Below are 22278 nucleotides of genomic sequence, written 5' to 3' on the forward strand. Positions count from 1 at the left end.
CCAGCGATGCTCAAGTCCCTTATATAAAATGATGTGGTATTTGCATATGGCCTATGCACCTCCTCCCAATATACTTTAAATCATTTTAATTGTTTTTCTAAATACTTTTGATTCAAGATTGGTTGAATCCATAGATACAGAGGGCCAACTGTATATATATTACTTTCCGGCAGGATCTCAGAATGTGCCCAGTAAAGTCCATTCACAACATTGACCAGGATGGGAGCATGAAATGAATCTCTTCAATTTGAGGGAAAAATATGAACACATAATACTCAATCTGTCCTTTAAAGATAATGTTTCTTGTAGAAACGCTTCCTCTGAGTAAACCTGACCTGATTGGCTGGCAAACTAACAACAATGAATGGCTTCCAAAAGAGAGGGTTGGGGTGGGGGGAGGGGAACCTGCTACTGTAGAAACTAGTAGAGCAAGCTCATAAATGATCAGGATCCTGTTGAGCGCAGTTTCAAGCATTCATCATAATCTTCAGTATACCCAGAAAGTTTAGCATGTGTACTTTATTCTTCCTAGTGCCTATCTTCAGTTGCCACAGCACTGCAGTCTGGATTCCTTCCGTACTGTGAACCTGTGTATCAGCGTTGTGTAAACCTAGTACAGAAGACTCTTGCACAAGCCATGGTAATTTTTTTAAAATGTCTTCCTCTTCTTGACATGGTGGACATTTTTCTAAAGATAGGTATAATGTATACAGACTTTTTAAGTAGTTAATTAAAACCAAACTTACAAAAAACATTGTGTCTAATTTCAGCTAAACAATGCTCAACCAGATCAATATGAAGCTCCAGATAAAGATTTTATGATAGTGGCTCTTGATTTACTGAGTGGCCTGGCTGAAGGACTTGGAGGCAACATTGAACAGCTGGTAGCCCGAAGTAACATCCTGACACTAATGTATCAGTGCATGCAGGTGAGACTTGAAAGGTGAAAATGAATTGAAGCCTGTTTCTCTGTGTCACATTGGGGTTAATTTCTTCTTATTTCTTGTAGGATAAAATGCCAGAAGTTCGACAGAGTTCTTTTGCCCTGTTAGGTGACCTCACAAAAGCTTGCTTTCAGCATGTTAAGCCTTGTATAGGTATGAATATTTTCTACTGCTATGAATATGGTTTTTTAAAGTTAACATTTACATCAGCTTTGTTTTTTTATTATTAAACTGAAATTGCATGGAATCCCAACATTTATAAATGTACACTTTATTGGTTAAAGTAAACTTGCTGTGATTGAAACAGGCAAGATGGCAGGAACCCCTAATATTTCCTTGAGCTTGCCATCATCTCAGCTTTTTAGGTACTCCTGTGACTGGAGGAAAGCTTAGTAATATACTTTAGAGTAAAGGACATGCCCACCAGGGAAGCCTTGGTACCATGGACTAGTTAATAGATTCTTTTTTGAGTAGCCACCTTTTTGGTAGAGGTACACAGAAATAGTAATAATCAGGTTTTCTTCTCTAGCAAACCAGCATACTTTTTCAGATATTGCAGAAAACTTCCAACAAATGTCACTTTAACTGAGACTGGGCCTGGGGGCTCACACCTGTAATGCCAGCACTTTGGGAAGCCAAGGCAGGCAGATCACTTGAGGTCAGGAGTGCGAGATTCGAGACTAGCATAGCATTTGTCTTGGCCTTCTGTGACAATGATAAGAAATTCCTTGAATGTTGTACCCGGAATTGTTCTTAAACCTATGGGTTATAAATGAGTTATGGGATTTTTTTCCCCCTTTTCTGCATCTCAGCATGTTGGGTAACAATTATTTTAATACAGCCGGGCACGGCGGCTCAGACCTGTAATGCCAGCACTTTGGAAGGCCAAGGCGGGCAGGTCACGAAGTCAGGAGATCAAGACCATCCTGGCTAACACGGTGAAACCCCGCTTCTACTAAAAATACAAAAACTTAGCCAGGCGTGGTGGCTTGTGCCTGTAGTTCTAGCTACTTGGGAAACTGAGGCAGGAAAATCGCTTGAACCCGGGAGGCAGAGTCTGCAGTGAGCTGATACTGTACCACTACACTCCAGCCTGGGCAACAGAGCAAGACTCCGTCTCAAAAAAAATTATTTTAATACTTCATTTAAACCTTAATTTAAAATATTAATTGAATGTTTTGTCATCTGATATAATTGTGCTTTTGGATAACCATTTCTCAAAAAACTAACATAATTAACATTAATTATGATATATTAAGAACCATCAAGTTTAAACCTAACAGTGTAATGAATTCTTATGGGAAGCTTATCATTCTCATATTTACCACCTAATTTAGTTTTTTAGTTGAAACTTATATGAAAGGATTTAATTTTTTTATTATAAAGTGTTTAAGACGTACAAAAGTAGAAAAAATGTAACAAACCTCCTATCACCCAGCTTCAACTGTCCAGTCCTGTTTCCTATATACTGTTGTCAGTGGTGAGACACATAGATCTCAGATATTTTGGAGCAAATCTCAAACACAGCATTTGAAGTCTTAATATTTTAGTACATACTATACTATCTCTTCTTACAATTGTTTTTTGTTAAAGAAACCATGTTTTTTATTCTAAAGAGTTTCCTTTACTGTGGATTTTACTGATTGCATCTTTGTTGTCTTTAACATGTTCCTCTGTCCGTTGTATTTACTGTAAATTGTTTGGATACAGAGACTGAGGTTTAATGAGATTTACGTTGTTTTGTTTTTAAGACTTTATAGATGGTATTGTGTACTTAGTGTACATAGTGTCTAGTTGTCCCTCCTTTTTTTTTTTTTAATGTTACCAATCTTGATGATTGTCTCAATTAGTGGTTCTCAACTAGGGGCAATTTTGCCATTCGGGGAACATTTGCCAGTGTCTGGAGACATTTTGTTTGATGCTGGAGAGGTGCCATTGATGTCTAGTGGGTAGAAGCAAAGGATGTTGCTAAACATCTTATAATACAGGAGACAGCTCCCCTTCCCCCCAACAAAAAAATGATCTGGCCCAAACTGTCAATATTGCTGAGATCAAGAAACCCTGGCTTACATCTCCTGATTTATTAGGAGTTTAAAAAATTATGATATTCTAATTCTTCATTTAATAATGAAGATACTTATATAGGGAGACATTTCCCATATCAATAAATTACTATCCTGAGGTAAAATCATATAGCAGAGGCAAGATAAATACTTGATTCTTTTTTTTATTTACCAATTTTCAAAATAATGAATTGATTCCTATCATCCTCCAAAGGTATCTTTGATGTTTCAGAGTTTTGTTTTTGTTTGATTGTTTTTAGTGCTAGTGTGACTTCATGATGTTCAAGCTGTTGTACTGCTTGCAGTGAGAACTTAAGTTGGCTCCCGAGTCCTTTCATTATGACAAGATAGTCCACTTATTTTGCACATTTCCTGCCTTTGCCTGTAATGTGACGTTTTCTGAGAGTCCATTTTTTTTTAGTGGAAAATGTTATTCAGAGACCACAATCAGAGCACAAGAGTGAAAATTGCTTTAAAAGCCAAAATCATTGATTTTTTTTTTTTAGTCTAATTACAAGAGATTACTCTGACCAACTCTTTTTAGTGGTATGTAAAATATACCCAAACTTGTATTTCCTGTTCCACATTATTTGAAAGTTCATTGGCCAGATACTGTTTTCTTCAGTTTCTTAAGATAAACATTACCAACTCCTTTAAAAAATATTTTTAAATACAGTTGCCTAGTTTATTTCCACCAATTTTAAAATTGATGTTGCAGTAATTTTTTTAATGGTGAAACTTGTTATTTCTTGCTTAGATTTCTGTTTCCACCTAGTAGATTTCCTTTAAAGTACAATATACTGCTATTGAAAAGTTTACTACATAGTTTAAATTTTTTTTCTAGCTGATTTCATGCCAATATTGGGAACCAACCTAAATCCAGAATTCATTTCAGTCTGCAACAATGCCACATGGGCAATTGGAGAAATCTCCATTCAAATGGGTAAGATGTTTTTCCCTATTTAAAAGCATAAGGCCTGGCGCGGTGGCTCACGCCTGTAATCCCAGCACTTCGGGAGGCTGAGGCGGGCAGATCACCTGAGGTCAGGAGTTTGAGACCAGCCTGGTTGACATGGTGAAACCCCGTCTCTACTAAAAATACAAAAATTAGCTGGCGTGGTAGCGGGTGCCTATAATCCCAACTATTTGGGAGGCTGAGTCAGGAGAATCACTTGAACCTGGGAGGCAGAGGTTTCAGTGAGCTGAGATTGCACCACTGCACTCCAGCCTGGTGACGGAGCGAAACTTTGTCTCAAAATAAATAAATAAAATATAAATTTTTAGGTGCCTTGATATTTTTGTAATTGCTTTAATTTTAATTATTTGTATTTCTATATTTATATGACATGTCAGAGTTAATACGGGAAGCAAAATATTTCACATTGATATTTTAACGTTCAATTTTTTCTTTTTTGTTTTTTTCTTTTTGGGATGATCTCTAGGTATAGAGATGCAGCCTTATATTCCTATGGTGTTGCACCAGCTTGTAGAAATCATTAACAGACCCAACACACCAAAGACGTTGTTAGAGAATACAGGTACCATATGACTGAACTGTTTCAGTGAAGAGAAAATTTGTTGCCTTTTAATTTTAATATGCGTAGAGAAACCAAAGCAAAACTAGCTTTTAAAATCGAGCTTATTTTGTATTTAATTGCTATTTCGGATTTTCAGTAATGAAATAGACTGTTGCAGCTACATTCTATAACCAGTTTTCAGTGGTTATATATTCAGTGGTATAACCAGAAAAACACTTTTTTCCCCTATTCCAGTGTTTTAATACTTCCTGCAATGGATCCCAGCAAAGATAACTATTGAACCACCTGAATTTTGCTTTTAAATTAATTCGGAGAGTAACTGGGAGCTGGGAAGTAATTTTTTTTTTTAATCTGTCCAAATGTAGTCAAAAAGATTCAGTGGCAAATTGGTTAACAGTGGCATTTGTAGTTTGTATTTCATCATATAATTTTCTTCGAATTGGGAATTTAGGCAGTATGTTATGGGATTTTTTTTTTAATTTATTTTTTTTTTTTTAGGAAGCTTGTTTCTCTTTTGCATTTATAGAGAGCATGTTTATATTAAAGAGTACCTTCCATACTATAGAACACATTTGTGGGTGGATTCGGTCCTTTTCTTTCTACCCTCCCTGATTGCTGCTAACAATCCAGAAAGACAGAAATTTTGTTTTCATTCAGGCACATTCCTTTCTTTACATACTAAGATGATTCCCATAATTTATTTATAATTCAATGAGTATTCTACCAAAATACTAGACAAAGATTAAAATAAGGTTTTCCAAATAAGAAAGTTACTTTTCAAAGGCATTTTTATTTGGTATTTTTAAATTATAGAAAGTTCATTTTATTCTAATGCTATTAAAATTGATAATGTTTATTGGTATGGAAGGAAATCTTTTAATTATGAAGCAGTTATCTGGCTGTTTGGCTGTATGGGTACTGTTTATTTCACAAAGTGAATTAGATTTTCTTGCTGAAAAGTACAAAAATCTATGTATAGGATGGGTTATGAAATCTTGTTAGGATTTTATCTTTTCAGAATGCAGTACCTATACATGACATTCAGATTTGAAAGACTTGCCATTATAAAATTATTGTGGAACCTAAAGAAACTTCTATTTATTTTTAAATGTGAATGCTTAACTGCAAATAAATGTTGAGTGTAATGTATATGAAAGTTTCTTGTGGGATATCAGCTGGTGAATTTGTTACATAGTTTGTTTAACAAATTGGCTTTATTTATAAGATTATATTTTAAGTATGATTATATCCTACATAAATAAGTCATAATGCCCTAAAGTTGATGGATTAAATTGATATTATTGAGAAACACACTTGGGATTCATTAGATTACCTCTTATCACAAGTGGCTGCATAAAGTATTGTTTTCTTTATTTCTTACCCAAAAAAGTGGGGTTTTTTAATTATTAAAATCATTGTCAATGGCTAATATCTAGATTTTAGCAGCTTTTAATTACCATTATCTCAATATTTCATAAAGCCAATTCCTTAGTCTGCCGTTAATTTGCTTTTTTCCGATTAGTATATCCTGCACTGAACTTTTTCAATGGACCATCATCTGCTTTATCGCATGTTTCATTGGATTGTTCATACTTGCCTGTTTAATGAGAATGTTGCATAGTTTGTGTCTTTTGAACATAGGTTTTCTTTCTCTTGCTTCATATGAATCTGCTGGATTTTAGTATTATCTGTGTAGTTTGCTTCAAGTAATCCTTAAACATTTTTCTTTACCCCCCACCCTTTTTTTATGAAAGGTTAACCTGTAAGTTTTTGAGAGAACACCATTAAAGCACTTCATGGTTTGTTTTCTGTTTGTATTTTTTCCTGTTGTGTATGAATGTATTTACATGTACGTACCTTTGAATTGCAGAATGCAGTTCCGAGTTGCACTTATTTTAGCTCTTTGTAAGTTTAAAGACTTCCTCAATTTTTATGGTGAATATATGTTTGCCCACTTCAAAATTGTAAAAAAAAATAGTGTGTAATTAGTATAATGTATTATCTATTTTGTGCTATACCTTTAATAGCAGAAACAGAATATTTATTTTTTCCTGTGGTCCACATATCATATGTCATTGCAGTGGACTGTAAATTTCCTTTATTAGAATTTTATTTCAAACATGGCTTAAAGTTAGTGGACTGTTACCTGAGTTATCAGAGGTTTGACAACATGAGATTTGACATTGTAGCATAGCAATATTCTAATCCATTCATTCAGTGAGTACCATGAGACTTAAAATCTGACAGTTGATTTTGATGTAAGGTAACAAATTTCCACTGGTTGGTTTGGCAAATGTTAATCAAAGAAAAAATTTTTGAAACTACCAAAAATTTGGTTTAAATTCCCTAGATAATTTCCAAGGAATGGAAATCACTTTCACCTGTATTAGTTTGAGATGCTTGAGAAATATAATCACATTTACTGATATTTTCTCATGAAAAAAACTATAGATTTTATTATTAAATTCTGAAATTTTGGCTGGCTTTTGAATGAAGGTTCTCTAAATTTGTCCATTTAACTGCTCATCTTATTAACAGAATGATACCTTGACACTCGATTGAGCGAGAAAAGCAATTTCATCATGGTTTTTGGTGTTCTCTCAATCTTTAGATTTTTTTAATTCCTTTTGTTTTTCTTTTTCCAAGAGTATGCCATATATGTTGCTGCCCCTTATTTTAGGGGGTGGTAATAAACAGCACTGGTGAAATCTTATGTTTATTATCATACACAAATTCTGTTGGTTTCTGTTTCTGAGTTATTTGTTGTTTTTTCTTTATTTTTTCTCCTTCCCCCTCATTTGCTCATGTCTTGGTTGGCGTTTGGTGGTGTATAACCGTGATTGCGTTACCTTAGCAATAACAATTGGTCGTCTTGGTTACGTTTGTCCTCAAGAGGTGGCCCCCATGCTACAGCAGTTTATAAGACCCTGGTGTGTATTATTCAATCTTTTTTTTTAATTCATTTTTCTTCACTCTTTCTTTCTCTATCTCACTTTTAGATATATTTTCAGTTGGTTACAAAAATCACAATCCTTTATCATTGCCAACCATGTGACTAATCTTGTCCTATCAGGTTTGTGAGGTTTTTCAATAGCATCGTCATGTATATTTATTTTATGTTGTGGCTAACGACTAATTGATGCATGGGATAAGATTGTCACATGCTTGCTGTGTTAAAAAAGCTTGATTATACATAAAAAGCATTTAAATATCCACCAGAAAAATAAAGATGCATGCAAATTCTATAAATTTAGGTTTTTGCATTACGTTTCTTTTTTAGAATTAATTTGGAAACTTGGATTGCATTAAGAAATACATGTTTAAATTTGTTATGTATAAAAATATTATTTGCTTGTTAATGTAAAAGTTAAACATCTACACCATAAGCTATATAGTAATAGTTTATATTGTGGCACTATATCCTATGTTTTGCTTCTTTCAATTGATAATCTTTCAATTCAAATCATTTTAGTAGTGTTTAATGGAATACAAGTCATGAGTACAATTTTAAAAGTTAATTTGGTAATTTGTTCTTCTTGGCTCAGGCTCATTAATAGTTTAAATGGGAGATTCAAATTAGTTATCTACTTTATAAATGCAATTTATTAAGAAAATGTGGATTTCACTGTTTCTACTGTATTGAGATAAGATGGGCCCAACAAACAGGAAGTATGAGTAAACGAAACTAAAGCTTTCCGAAAAACTCTTTTAATATAATCATTATCTATACTGTGGTGCTTATTCCATTAAATACTGTCCATTAGTATTGTCATTGAATCTGCTTGTTACTTAAATGCTAAACTCAATTCTGTAATTCAATAGGTGCACCTCTCTGAGAAACATAAGAGACAATGAGGAAAAGGATTCAGCATTCCGTGGAATTTGTACCATGATCAGTGTGAATCCCAGTGGCGTAATCCAAGTAAGATGTTCACAAAGATTTGTTTTTAATGTCTAATTAATAAAATTTTAAAGGAAGAAACATTCTAATACTTTAATTATAAAAAGTTAACTATTTTCAAAGGTATCAAAATACAGTTAAACCTTTAAAATGTATATTTCTTAATATCTTGAAATTGTAATGCCTTTTTTTTTTCCTAAATTTTTTTTGTCATGAAATGAGATAGTAACAGCAGATTGGGACAACAAGGTTATATTCTTGTCTTGAATCAGGCCATGGCTTCTTTCATCCAAATTTCAGACCTCATTTATTTACTTTGTCCCTGCCTCCCATCCCTGGATATCAGTTTGTGGATATCTACAGTTAATAGAGTGACCAAATAGTAGGAATACTGTCTCTCTATTCTGAATAAAATACTTTGAATCAGATTTAGAAATAATGAATAAAATACAAATCAGCCATTGAAATTGCTCTAATTTTGAGAGCTTATGATTTATTCATCTTTGTTTTCCAAGTTCAAGTTATATGTAGACATTTTAATTATTCGGCAGTAGTATTGAACATGAGTCCAGTTAAGCATCTGGATCCAACTGCCAATTTTCTAGACACACAAAACAAAAACATGTTGAATTACACCATGTATATTCAGTGAACAAAATGCTAACTGTGGGACTCTAGGTTAAATACCTGGATTCTTCAGCAGACACGTTTAAGGAAAAGAAAGCGTGGAAGGAATCCTGTAGACAAGAGACCCAAGATACATCAAATCAATTGAAAAACGTAGTTGAGGCCGAGGCAGGCAGATCACGAGGTCAGGAGTTCGAGACCAGCCTGGTCAACATGGTGAAACCCCATCTCTACTTCAGATAAAAAATTAGCCAGGCTTGGTGGCAGGTGCCTGTAATCCCAGCTCTCGGGAGGTTGAGGCAGGAGAATTGCTTGAACCCGGGAGGCAGAGGTTGCAATGAGCCGAGATCGCGCTATGGCACTCCAGTCTGGGGGACAAGAGCGAGACTTCATCTGGAAAAAAAAAAAATGTAGTTGAGGGAGGGAAGCAAAGAACTAAATTTTGGTTTCCAGGAATGCACACAAGAGTTATAAAACTGCCCCAAAAAAATGCTTTTATAGCAATAACTTTCTCACATTTCTTAATTTTCAAGAAAATTGAAACTTTCCACTCCGAGAGGGGTGTTTTGAACATTTTTAAATTGTGACCTTTTGATGTTTCCTAGCTCGTATTGTGGTTTTTCTTAACTCGGTTTTAGAAACGTTAATTCTGTTTTATAAAATTCAAATTGATACAGGTGATAGACGTTGAAAACCTACAAGTTAGAATTAGAAAATAACTTCTGACTGATTTCACACTCATAAAATATTCATAACTTACTGTTAGAACAAGCCAGTGCCATCTTGAGAGGTTTCTAGTTACAAAATAAGCTTTTGACATTTTCTGGGTTTTTGTTTTTTTTTTTAATACTTAAGAACTTTGTGTGATCTCAAATGTGTGCTAGAGGTATCTGATATGACATGTACCATCTTTTTCAAAAGTATCTTCCGACCAAGATTTTATTGTTTCTTTGTTTTTGAATTAATGTTTTAAGATGATAAAAGTAGCACATGTATGATCATAAAATTGTTACCAACTTAAGAGTTGGTAGAAATTTCTGTTTTATAACTTTTATTCACATACCTTATTTTGGATATGGTTAAAATAAAATGTCATAGGTTTATTTACATTTAAATTTTTTAATCACAAATTCTGGGTATCTGTGCATTTAAATTTTTAACATCAGATTTGGTATTTGGAAGACATAATTTGAATAAATTGTGTTAAGCAAATCTTTTTTGCTTAAATAAACATACACACACTGTAGTATTACCAAATTTTTTGAAATTAGTGAAGTTTTCTGAATATAATAGTAAAATTTATAGTTGACATGTCAGAAAATCAGCAATATGTTGAATGCTGTTTGTTGAACTGTTAGTGTTTCAGTATGATAGGCAAGATTGAGAATATTTTAATGAAATGCTTAAAGCATATTATTATCTTGTTCTTATAGTCAGAATAGCCTGATTATCTTTTAAGTAATTGTCCAAAAGTTGGGTTTTTTGTTCTTGTTTGGATTGGGTATTTGTAATTACATAATTAGTTTTTCTTCAATTTTTTGGTTGTTTCAACTAAGTTATGTCTGAAAATGGACCTTGAAATTACTAATTTCTCTATTTCAAATCAAGGTCATTTAATATATATTTAGCTAGCTTTAATTTCTTTCTAGGCCAGTCAAAACTGTAAGATCATTGGTTTTATGTTTTTCTTTAATCCGGTAAATGAAAGAGTATTTTTATGGGTGTCGATTTGGTGCTTTCAGTTCATTTCTGATGCTGAACATTTATTGCACAGGGGGTTATTTTGTTGTGTGATGCAGGACATTAAAGTCCAGTATAAACTGAATGAGTTGAGGTTCCTTGACTGTGGGCTAATAGGGACAGCCATTAAGGTAATCTCTTCTAATTCCTTATGATCATAGTTAATTTTTAAATGTTTCCTTTTTTAAGCTAGATTCTATTGTGACATAAACTCTGAGGTTTACATATATCTTTTGCTGAGTTTGACAAATACAATATCAACCTAAGATGTATTTCTTGCTTGTTACAGGATTTTATATTTTTTTGTGATGCCGTTGCATCATGGATTAACCCAAAAGATGATCTCAGAGACATGTTCTGTAAGGTAACTAATAAGTCTTTATAATGCATCATCTTGAGACTGTTAATATCCTAGTGGAAAACTTTAAATTATGTTTACATTTTTTGTGAAAGTTAGGCTCTTCAAGTCAGTATTGATAGTTTACATATATAACCTTTATTCTTGGTAACAAAGTTGGCTTGATCTTTTCTTAAAATACAGCAGTGACTCTTATCTGTAGAGGATGCACTTTGAAAGTATTTTCCCAAGTGTACCACTAGTTTAGGTGGTCCCATTATTCCATTTAAGGAAAATAGTATATGTTTTTCAAGATGGAAATGGAGACTTGGAGTATAATCTGAAAAAGAGTAAATCTAAATGGCTGCCACAGGAGTAAGCCCATGTCATTATTTGCTTTGTTAATACCCTCTTTTGATTAACTCGTCAGTACTCAACCACAGTAAAAAATAAAATGCAGTTACACATTTGAATCACCCAAGATTAAAGTTAGTGAACTATAGTTTGTCGTGAACTCAAAGCTTGTGTATTTGCAGTTTGAAAAAATACGACATAAAAATTGTATTGCTTGGATGACTTCTCTACTTTATCTTTTCGTTAGTATGGTATCAGAGATTGCTTAGAGTATATCTGTTACTGGAACACTTGCCAAAGTCTAAACTTCTCAAAGCAGAGTTTAAGCATATGCTATGAGGTACTTTTAGGCAAGGCACGTGTATTAGTCCATATTCACGCTGCTGATAAAGATATGCCCAAGGGCCGGGCTCAGTGGCTCACACTTGTAATCCCAGCACTTTGGGAGGCCGAGGCAGGTGGATCACCTGAGGTCAGGAGTTCAAGACCAGCCTGGCCAACATGGTGAAACGCCATCTCTACTAAAAATACAAAAAATTAGCTAGGGGTGGTGGCGGATGCCTGTAATCCCAGCTACTCAGGAGGCTGAGGCAGGAGAATCGCTTGAACCCAGGAAGTGGAGGTTGCAGTGAGCCAAGATCATGCCGTTGCACTCCAGCATGAGCAATAAGAGTGAAACTCTGTCCCCGCCACACACACAAAAAGATATGCCCAAGACTGGGTAATTTACAAAAGAAAGAGGTTTAATTCGACTCACAGTTCCATGTGGTTGGGGAGGCCTCACTGTCATGGTGGAAGGTGAAAGACAAGTCTTAAATCGCAGCAGGCAAGAAAGAGAATGAGAATCAAGTGAAACGGGTTTCCCCTTATCAAACCGTCAGATCTCATGAGACTTATTCACTACCACCAGAAGAGTATAGGAAAAACTACCCCTATGATTCAGTTATCTCCCACTGGGTCCCTCCCACAACACGTGGGAATTATGGGAGTACAATTCAAGATGAGATTTGGGTGGGGACACAGAGCCAGACCATATTAGCAGGGAATGGTGTAGAATCCTACGAAGTTTGAGAATTGCTACTTTAAAATGGATAAAATTTATAAAAAAATCAGCTGTGTTGGATTTCAGAAGCTATGCTGATCTGAATTTTTCTCTTGTTATTGATAAATTAATGGTTTTTCACTCTTACAGATCCTTCATGGATTTAAAAATCAAGTTGGCGATGAAAATTGGAGGCGTTTCTCTGACCAGTTTCCTCTTCCCTTAAAAGAGCGTCTTGCAGCTTTTTATGGTGTTTAATCTAATACACTTAAGCTGCAGTCCCAAAATTAGGGGTAAGTTATAAGAAGTTTGGAAATTTTCAGGATGAAGAAAATTTTGTTAGGGCTGTCATTTCAAACTACTAAATAGAATAAAAAGCTATTTGTTTTCTATAGAGGTTGAATAAAACATAGCCTCATATCATTCTATCTTGGGCTTTAAATTTAAAATTACTTAAGTGGGCCAGGTGTGGTGGCTCATGTCTGTAATCCCAGCACTTGGGGAGGCCAAGGTGGGCAGGTCATTTGAGGTCAGGAGTTTGAAACCAGCCTGGCCAACATGGTGAAAACCCATCTCTACTAAAAATACAAAAATTAGCCACGTGTGGTGGGACGTGCTTTTGTAGTCCCTGCTACTCAGGAGGCTGAGGTGGGAATATTGTTTGAACCTGGGAGATGGGGGTTGCAGTGAGCCAAGATCTTGCCAGTGCACTCCAGCCTAGGGGACAGAGCAAGACTCCATCTCAAATAAATAGAAAATAAAATTACTCAAGTGAAGGCTAAAGAAATTTTCTTAATAGAACCAACAAGCCCAGAAAAACGATTAGCTCCAGTTTGAATCGTAGGTATAAAGAAATCCACGTTGGTACACTGGTTGGATTTCTCAACATTGCTTCAACTATTCCTTTTTTCTTTCTTTTTTCCTGCAAGAAGACATCGGCACTCATAGTGATGGGGTAAAATTGATTTCATTTTGGAGCATGAATTTATAGTCTCTGCTGTAACAAGGACTTTTCATTTCACGTGCTTTGAAAGAAAACTCAGTTGGGTTTTGGCCCACTGTTTTTGTTTTTCACTGTATGTTTCACTGAGTACCTACCATGTGCCCATCACTTTTTTTTTTCTTTTTTTTTTTTTTTTTTTTTTTTTTTTTTTTTTTTTTGAGACAGAGACTCTTTCGCCCAGGCTGGAGTGCAGTGGCGCAATCTGAGTTCACTGTAATCTCCGCCTCTTGGGTTCAAGCAATTCTCCTGCCCGAGCCTCCCAAGTAGCTGGCATTACAGGCACATGCCACCATGCCTGGCTAATTTTTGTATTTTTAGTAGAGATGGGGTTTCACCATGTTGGCCGGGCTGGTCTCGAACTCCTGACCTTGTGATGCACCCACCTCGGCCTCCCAAAGTGCTGGGATTTACAGGCGTAAGCCACTGAGCCCAGTGCCTAGGACTATATTTTAAAATAAGCAATGAAAGATTCTGTTTTAATTTGGGATGGACTATATTCATTTGGACTCTTGCTCCTTGAGCTCTTCTGTACTTAAATGGGACTAGCAGTTCTCATCTCTGAGCTTCGGTTTTGTCATTGAGTTATGTTGAGGATTAAATACTATACTGTATGTGATGCCAGAACTTAGTATGTTGCCTGGCACACTAAGTTGACTCAGTAAAGGTTAGGAACTGGGCCAGTACAATAAATATCAGGGTTTTGACATTCATCTTTAGATTTTCAACATGAATTAAGACATATCTGACTGGAAGCCAGAAGATGTGCTGAATGAGCATGTACAGAAGATGTACACCAAGTTGAATTACACTTTAGATTGAATTGGAGGAGTTTTTTTGGCTTGCTTGCTTGCTTGTTTACTCCAAGCTAAAATTTAAATCTGGAAAGATTTCACCATCCAAGCTGTCTAACCTAGAAGGTAGTAGAAATGGACTCAAAGCTTCCAGAATGTGTCAGAGCCCTTCATATGTGTTGTCCTACTTCAGTCTTGAGTCCTCAAGAGCTGTTTTCCAAAATGGCTTTGGCATTTTGGAAAAGTGCTGGATTCACCTTATGTTAAATTATGAGAATGCAAAAGATGAGAATGACTTGTAGCTTCAAAGCTTCAATGAGCTACTAACAAGTCTTGAGCACTTTCAGATTTATTACCTCTGTGGTCTCATCACCAATCATGAATTAACTGTTCTAAGACAAGGTATGAAATAGTTCTCGGTTTTGTAATTAGAGCTAAAAGTAGATCAGTATCTTTTATTCCTGCCTTTTTGTACTCCTCTTCCTTTTCTTCAGAGGCAGGAGAAAAGGGATTGCTTATATTTCTACACAGATGGATTAACTGCCCTCTGTGAATTCACATGAACGTTCATAAATGGCCAAAACTTGGCATGATTGGGTAGTAGAGTTCTGTTTGTAAAAGGACCACTATCAGGTAACAGTTTAAATCTCCCAGTAATCTTACCTTATTTCTTAATATCCTTTTTATCATTAAAACTGTTTAGCATAGAAAAAAGTTCCTACCAGAAAAACCAAGTGACTGGAAGATAGTGGAAATGACCAAGTGAAATAGGATCAGAATGGGAACTAATTAGGAACATCAAGAAGGCAAGTGTAGGCAGGGTGTGATGGCCCACATCTATAATCCTAGCATTTTGGGAGGCTGAGGTGGGAGCATTGCTTGAGCCCAGGAGTTTGAGACCTGCCTGGGCAACATGATGAGATCTCCATCTCTATGAAAAAAATTAAAAAGAAAAAAATGAGCTGGGCATGGTGGTATGTACCTATGGTCCCAGCTACTCAGGAGACTGGGCAGGAGGATTGCTTGAGCCCAGGAGGTTGGGGCTTCAGTGAGCCATATTCACACCACTGCGTTCCAGCCTGGGTGACAGAGCAAGGTGCTATCTCCAAAATAAATAAATAAATGTTAAATTTGCTTTTTTCTCTCTCTCTTTTTTTATGTAGAATTTGTTTGTTGATACTTACTGAATGTAGTGACCCTGCTGTGGTAATGAACACTTCTAGTGCCTTCTAGGCTTAAAATACCAGACAACCCCAAATAACAAATGCTCTTTTGTGTTTTGATAGGTTGGATTTCTGTTTGCTTAATATTGGGAATACTGGGGGAAAAAAAGATGGTGTTTTCATTCTAAGGATTGTCCTAAAGAAAGTGCTACTTTATTTTTAAGAAAGTAAGGCCACTTGTTATATAAGAAATAACAAGTTCCCATTGGGTCCCATTTTGCAAAAGGGGATAAAGAATTAGACTGATAGCATCATACGAGGCATATTTCACTATACAAAGTGTTGTACACCTGTCTATACAACTCTCCTACCCAGCTTGACCTCACTTTTCATACCTGATGCAGCAAACAATTCAGTGCCATAGGAGAAGGAAGCAGCATGGTTATAAGTGACTAACACGATATTAGGCAATTTGTCCAAATTTCTCATTTTCTTTATAGGTAAAGATAGCATTCTTATTTGATTAATTTTTTGTTCCACTGGCTTTGAAAGACAAACGATTGTTAAAGATAAAATTGTTTTTGTTCTTTTTCTTATAGGTCCTTCAGTCTTGGAGACTATAAGGGAGCCTCTGCACCCAGGGAAAATGTTACCCTTTACAGGGGGGAAGGGTAAACCAGTAGGGAATACAGTACAATCCCAACCCTACTGGGAGGGGCGGGAGGGAGGTGTTGCCGTCACTGTATTAAGTCGATGTTGGGAAACGTTTTAACATCTGGAGCCTTTGTGGGTGGAAATATGTCTCCAGTTACAACTCCGCAGTGGATGTGAAGAAGCAAAAAAAAAAAAATCTATTCAGTCTACTCACAAAACAGTACATTGTGGAATATTATGGGGAATTGTACCAAAACAAGAACCATATAAATGATGCCTAGGGACAAGAAAGAGGAACAATTCTATAGCGCACAATAAAGGAAACCTAAGAATGGGAGTTACAAATAGTAAAGAAGCTTTTTTTTTTTTTTTAATTTAAAGTTTTTTTATGTAAGTTTTCCCACATGATGGGGCCTTGTTTTGCATGTTGATGAAGAACTACACAAAGAAAACTAATATAGTTAAAAGTCAGCTTGCCTTCCCGTAGTAGAAGCAGGTTCTTGGAAGTTACAATTTAAGGTACCCCAAAAAAGTTGGAAATAAAACAAAACAAACATAAACAATGAAGCACCCTGTGAAATGCCAAATGAGTCACTCCTTTTACCTTTTTTGGGGTGGGCAGGGAGGGAGGAATAAATGGGGTTGGGCATATCAAACTAAAGATGACATCTTAATTTTGCATTGAACATTAATGTAGCGGATATAATTTGATGATTATACTTCATTAGATTTAATTTCTAGGCCAAGATGTTACTTTTTAAAGTGCAGTTTAAGGTTCAGGCATGCATTCTGGCTCATAGTGGTTGAAAGTAATTTAAATTAGTGGGAAAGTAGCATGCTTGCATCACATAGAGTGAGATTGGTATTCATTTACCTATGTTGCGCCAGTTTGTGTTGCAGTTTACCAATTCAATATAGCCCTGCATTTAAAGTTCCTTTTTAAGATTTGTGGATTTTATTTTTATTAAGAACATAGATATATAAAGTACTGTAGTTTACAGGTAGGCCTTGAAATATCTTTTTTAGGATCTGTTAGGAATAAGATTGATATTGTATTGTGTGTAACCTGCACAATGTGGAAAGCTGATATACCTGTGCAAAATCTTTGCCTCTGTGCTGTCAGTGTGATGTGCTTTCTGCATGGTTATATACTACTAGTGATTTTATCAAAACTTCTAAAATTTAAATTACGTGGTAAAAGATCTGTAAAAGGCTGCATAAATGTTAGTTGGCACATAAAGACAATTGTAGAAGTTGAAAAATGATTGCTATATTTCAATGTTTATTCCCACTCAACATACTGCCTTCTAAGCTTCCCTTTTTTTGTTCAAAGCATGATCTTAAAGATATGTTTAAGTTAATGGATGTAATGCAGGGTTCCTACACTGTATTTTGGCGCATGTTGGTGGCCCTCTGTGCCCTAGATATATGCACACAGGGTGCAAGTTAAAAGCTACAGAGTGAAAGTTGGTTTGGATCCTCTTCATTTCATTTGTTTAGCTTTTCTGTTATTTTTCTCTACTTACATGTATTCCTGTGAATAAATCCTTGTTAAGTTAACCCTTTACTTTTCCTTCCATGTGTATTTTCTTATATACTGTGAATGTGAAAACCTAACTGGTACACTTGATCTTGTGTTCATATGAAAGTGCAAGTCTTTATTAATTTGGATTGCCTGAACAGTGTATCCCATGATGATGAAGGAAAATGGAGAGATTTTTCTTTTTAACTCTGCTGGTCAGAGATGAAGCCACGCCTTTCCATTTTTCAATGCTGCATATTTAATCTGCAACAAAAATGTTAAGCCATAACAGCCTTTTTATATTTTAGTTTGTCACCTTTGCATTGCAGAATAAATACTGAATAACCATTTTTATAAGCAGTTGCTCCTCTTTGCATGGTTCTATTCTCTAAAAGTGTTGAATGATACAGCCATTGCACTGAAGTTTGAGCTGTGTGCGTGTGAATTTATACTGTTTCAAAAATTTCAAATGCATGGTAGCATGTAGAAAGGTTTTTGTTACTATGTGTGTGTGTGTGTTTTGTTTTGTTTTGTTCTGTTTTTTAACGTTCTTTCACCTTTCCTCTACTTTGGCTTTGCAAATTTCAGTCTGTAGAGCCTGAAATTAAATTATTTTATAGTGCCTGATATTTTTAATATTATAAGTTGGATTCAAAGGGTATACAGCATTTTGTTTTCTAGTACCATTGCTTCACTGGGAGCTCAAAATTTGCCTCCCTGTTAGTCTTTAATAACTGAGTAGAGTAGCTTTTTTATTCTTAGATTATAGTGATATTCTGTAGTGCTTCAAATACTTAGAATTCTAATATGAGAGATAGTTTAATATTCTGGAATAGAGAGTATTTTAAATTGAAATGACCAAATTCGATTTAAAACAAACACATAACAATCTTCAGTAAAGTTATTTGAACCTGTGGTTGACAATTCTGTATTGACTAAAGGCAATATTGTCACCTGTCTCATTAAAAATTAGTTTCCAGTTAGGCAGATGAATAACACTATTAAAAATGCACCCAGTTTTGTAGTCACTTGACTTTTTTTTTTTATTTAAATGAAATTTAATTTGAAAATAGAAAATAAAATTAGGTAAATATGACTGGCAACCTGAATTTGAGTTGGGATTCTTTGTGTATTTTTCCCCCTTGAGGTTATTGTTTCTTCCTAATTTATATTTCAGATACATAGTGTAGAACAGGAATTTGCAGAAGCCATTTAAGTTATCTTTTGAGGTAAGCTCTGATTTAGCATTTATTCTGATAAAATCTAATACATCATGGGATATATATAAAGCAACTTAATTCTTGTGGTGTAGTCTTAATAGTTTTGAATGTTGACTGAATGTCTATAAAATTGTGAGTTTGTCTTTGTTACATTCCAGTGTTTCTGCCTCTTGGCATGCTTAAAGCACGGCTTACTTCATCTGCTCCTTACACACTAAAATGCTGTTAGTGTGCTCAACTACAGAAATAGCCGCTGCTAAGTGATGTAGATTTTCTACTTGAATATTTTTATGTTGTAGGAACCTCAGGAGGTCAGTGTTTACTGTTTTATATATGCCTTCTTTTTCCTGTTTGAGCTTCTCTCTTTGAAGGATTCTAACAGAACAAAGCTGCTGATCAACCTAAGTTGGAAACAGAAAGTGTAATTAATATAACTTAAATGCATGTTTGGCAGTTCCATGTTACAGTCCATTAGCGAGTGAACTTAGTGCCACAGGTATTCATTTATTCAGGAAAGAATTTTGCTTTTTGTATTGTCTAATCTCTTCAATGACTTCATACTGTGTAAAAAAAAATCACTTTTTAATATTTTTTGGTTGGTTATTTCCCAAATAATCAACATGTAAATAATCTTTTAAGAGCCAGTTCTGATGCTTTACATTATTGCTACTTGATTTTGTTATGCAAGTTAGATTTCAGAAGAATAGATTTTAAAACACTTAACCAAGCCATTACATCTTAAAAACAAAACAAGTAGCATACATTTTGTAATTAACATTGATAAACACTGTGATTTTTTTGGTTAAGACTTTTTCATTGATCTGAATTGCTTAAATTGCATATATTGTAAAATAGGATCAGATGTATATTTTAAACTAATTTCAATGGATTTTCCTCTTGAAATGCTTTGTCTACTCAGTTATAAAATATTCAGATACAAGTTTTATCTCAGGTGAATACTCTTGTATTGTTTTTGCTTTGGTGACATGCTTATAAAGGGTCATCCTAGTTACATTCTTTGTTTTTTAAGTGTATTTCATTGAGAATCTTTCCATTTAGTCTGATTTTTTTCCTAATATTCTAGCAGGCTGGGGTGGTATAAAGCCCTCCTGACAAGCCTTTTGCCTACAGGTTTACCTGAAAATGAGCTACATATGGTCGTCATTTTCTTCAAACTCTCAAAATAGGAAAGTGGAAATTTTTCTCCCCTATATAAAATTATTCTGCCTAGCAGAAATGCCAGAAATAAATTAATTGCATCTTAGTCTAAATTTAAGTCCTTTGCCATGAGGAAAAAGTGGTTTTTTGCTTCATATGGTAAATCTATATTATTCATATTGAATGTATTAACAGATAATGGTGCAAAAGCATTCTTCCCAGGGGAAGAGTGTATCATGCATAACTGCAATTTAAGTCCTTCCTTTGATAATACTTCAAAACATACACAGCTTTGCTTACTGAATTATTTTTGCAAATAATACAAGGAGGGGAAACTAACTTGCTACTAGTGTTGTTAATGAAGTATAGGCCTTGGAACATTTAAGAAAACTGGTCTTCAGATAGTTAAGGGCTTGGGATAATTTAAGTGAAAAGTGAGATCAGTAATGAGCTGTGTTGTTAACAATATTATCTGGTAATAATACCATGCAATATAGCGTTGTATACCAACTTAGTGCATTTTATACTGTATTAAATATGGAGATACTTCTAATGCCTCTCTAAAATTAAATTTTACATAAAAGTTAGTTTTATTCACCTTTAGGCTTTCCAAGTGAATTGTGACTAATTTTTTCAATCTTACATAGATCTTTCACCCATTAGCATTACTTACGTAGATAATTCTTTATGCCTAGTTATTATACATATTAATTTTTAAGGTATACATTTAAATTACACAATTGTTCATTGTGGTTTGTATCCCAGAATGTGTTGTGTTTTTTAAAAGATGCATAATAGCTGAATGTATGCATGACTTTGAAAGAAGTTAAAATGGTGATTTTTTTTCACCTCTTGTACATTTTAAAACCAGGCCAAATCTATTTGCCAAGCAGTGTATCACTAATAAGAAAAGCAGTTTTTCCTTTTATTGCAGTTTTTGTTTATCTGCCATAGAATTTCCTTATACTGTGGCTTGGTATTATTCAAGATTAGCTATTTCGCTGGTATTACATCTTTTTAAAAGCCTATTATAACATGGTTAGCCTATAAGGCAGTGTTGGTCCCCTTCTAATATTGGCCTCATAAAGGGGTTCCACTGTACTTTCCGCATATTACTGTGTTGTTGTTTTCCTTTGTGGATATATAAGCAAATTGAGCTTGGGTGATTTTTATGGAGACAATAATTAGACAATACTGTATAATTAGTTTTACTTAATAGATTATCATCTTGTGAGAAGAGATGTTTAAACGTGGTAAATCACTTCATATTACAAAACAGTTTTACACTTAATATGTTAACATTGGGTGCAATAATTTAGTAGCATTAGCTTTAGTTACAAATATAACTGGATCTTTCTGCTGACAACTTAGGTTGTATGAGTTATGCTTAAAAGCTTTAAATCTGATGTTTCCTGTACCTGCCACACTATGTTAGAATGTGTCCTTCAAACATATCCTCCTGCAACTTCTCAAACTGTACTAAATTGATATTTCTTGAAGTCTAACTCTGTGCTAACAGATCTCCATTTTAAATAGAATACGGTTTTAATTTTTGATAAGCTGCTGAATTTTAAAGAGAGTTTTTTGGGGCCACCAAATATTTTGGATCATGCAGAGAATATATATTGTACTGTAGTAATTTTGTATTTACATTTGTATGATGTGACATAATAGATGTGAATGTTAATCACTGCTTGACTATGTTAATAAAGTTGTTTAACTATAGATGTTGCACTCTGATTTTTAATGAAAGGAAATGAGTTTTCTTTTTCCCTCTTACCCCATTTTGGATCTAGATAAGCCTTATGTTTTTTGGGATTTTTTTCCTTGTTTTTAGTTTGAGGTTTTGTTTTGTTTTTTCCTTAGCTTACACATTAGTACACTTTTGTTGTTGAACATCATTTATTTCTTAAAACAAGTGTTTTCTTATTTGTATAGTATAGTAAAAACCTGTTTTTCCACATTTTAACTTAACTCCTTGATGTGTTTTAAACAGTTGATTATAGGTTCTGCTGTTTGAGGATAGGGGACATACTATTCTGTAAAAGGAATTAAAGGCGAAATTGTGAATATAAAAAGTTGATGTAAGGAGAGATTGCATGAGTGTGTATGAATGTATGTCCTATTAAGGCTTCCTCTTTATCCTTCAAACAGTTAAGATTTGTAATTTGGGGAATTAACATTTATAAGAGTAATTTTTTCTTCAGGTTGTAAGGCATTA

The 22278-nt window shown here is 34.5% G+C and overlaps 1 protein-coding gene across 9 annotated transcripts in view; it reads left to right on the forward strand.

The window, feature by feature from the left end:
* TNPO1 (transportin 1) overlaps positions 1–21782 on the forward strand; it is a 97728-nt gene extending 75946 nt beyond the window's left edge. For 5 of the 9 annotated variants that reach the window (NM_001364292.3, NM_002270.4, NM_001364295.3 and 2 more), the window contains 10 exons: positions 533–640; positions 771–929; positions 1010–1097; positions 3852–3950; positions 4450–4545; positions 7400–7475; positions 8368–8467; positions 11103–11177; positions 12697–12839; positions 16103–21782. In NM_001364292.3, coding sequence (NP_001351221.1) covers positions 533–640; positions 771–929; positions 1010–1097; positions 3852–3950; positions 4450–4545; positions 7400–7475; positions 8368–8467; positions 11103–11177; positions 12697–12804 — 909 coding nt within the window. In that variant the 3' untranslated portion in view covers positions 12805–12839; positions 16103–21782. Of the gene's footprint in view, positions 1–532; positions 641–770; positions 930–1009; positions 1098–3851; positions 3951–4449; positions 4546–7399; positions 7476–8367; positions 8468–11102; positions 11178–12696; positions 12975–16102 lie in introns of those variants that run through there. The other 4 variants (XM_005248501.3, NM_001364294.3, XM_047417168.1 and 1 more) reach the window with 2 other exon arrangements.
* Positions 21783–22278: the final 496 nt, after the last annotated feature.

The sequence above is a fragment of the Homo sapiens genome, chromosome 5, assembly GCF_000001405.40.
Source record: "Homo sapiens chromosome 5, GRCh38.p14 Primary Assembly".
Lineage (NCBI taxonomy): Eukaryota > Metazoa > Chordata > Mammalia > Primates > Hominidae > Homo > Homo sapiens.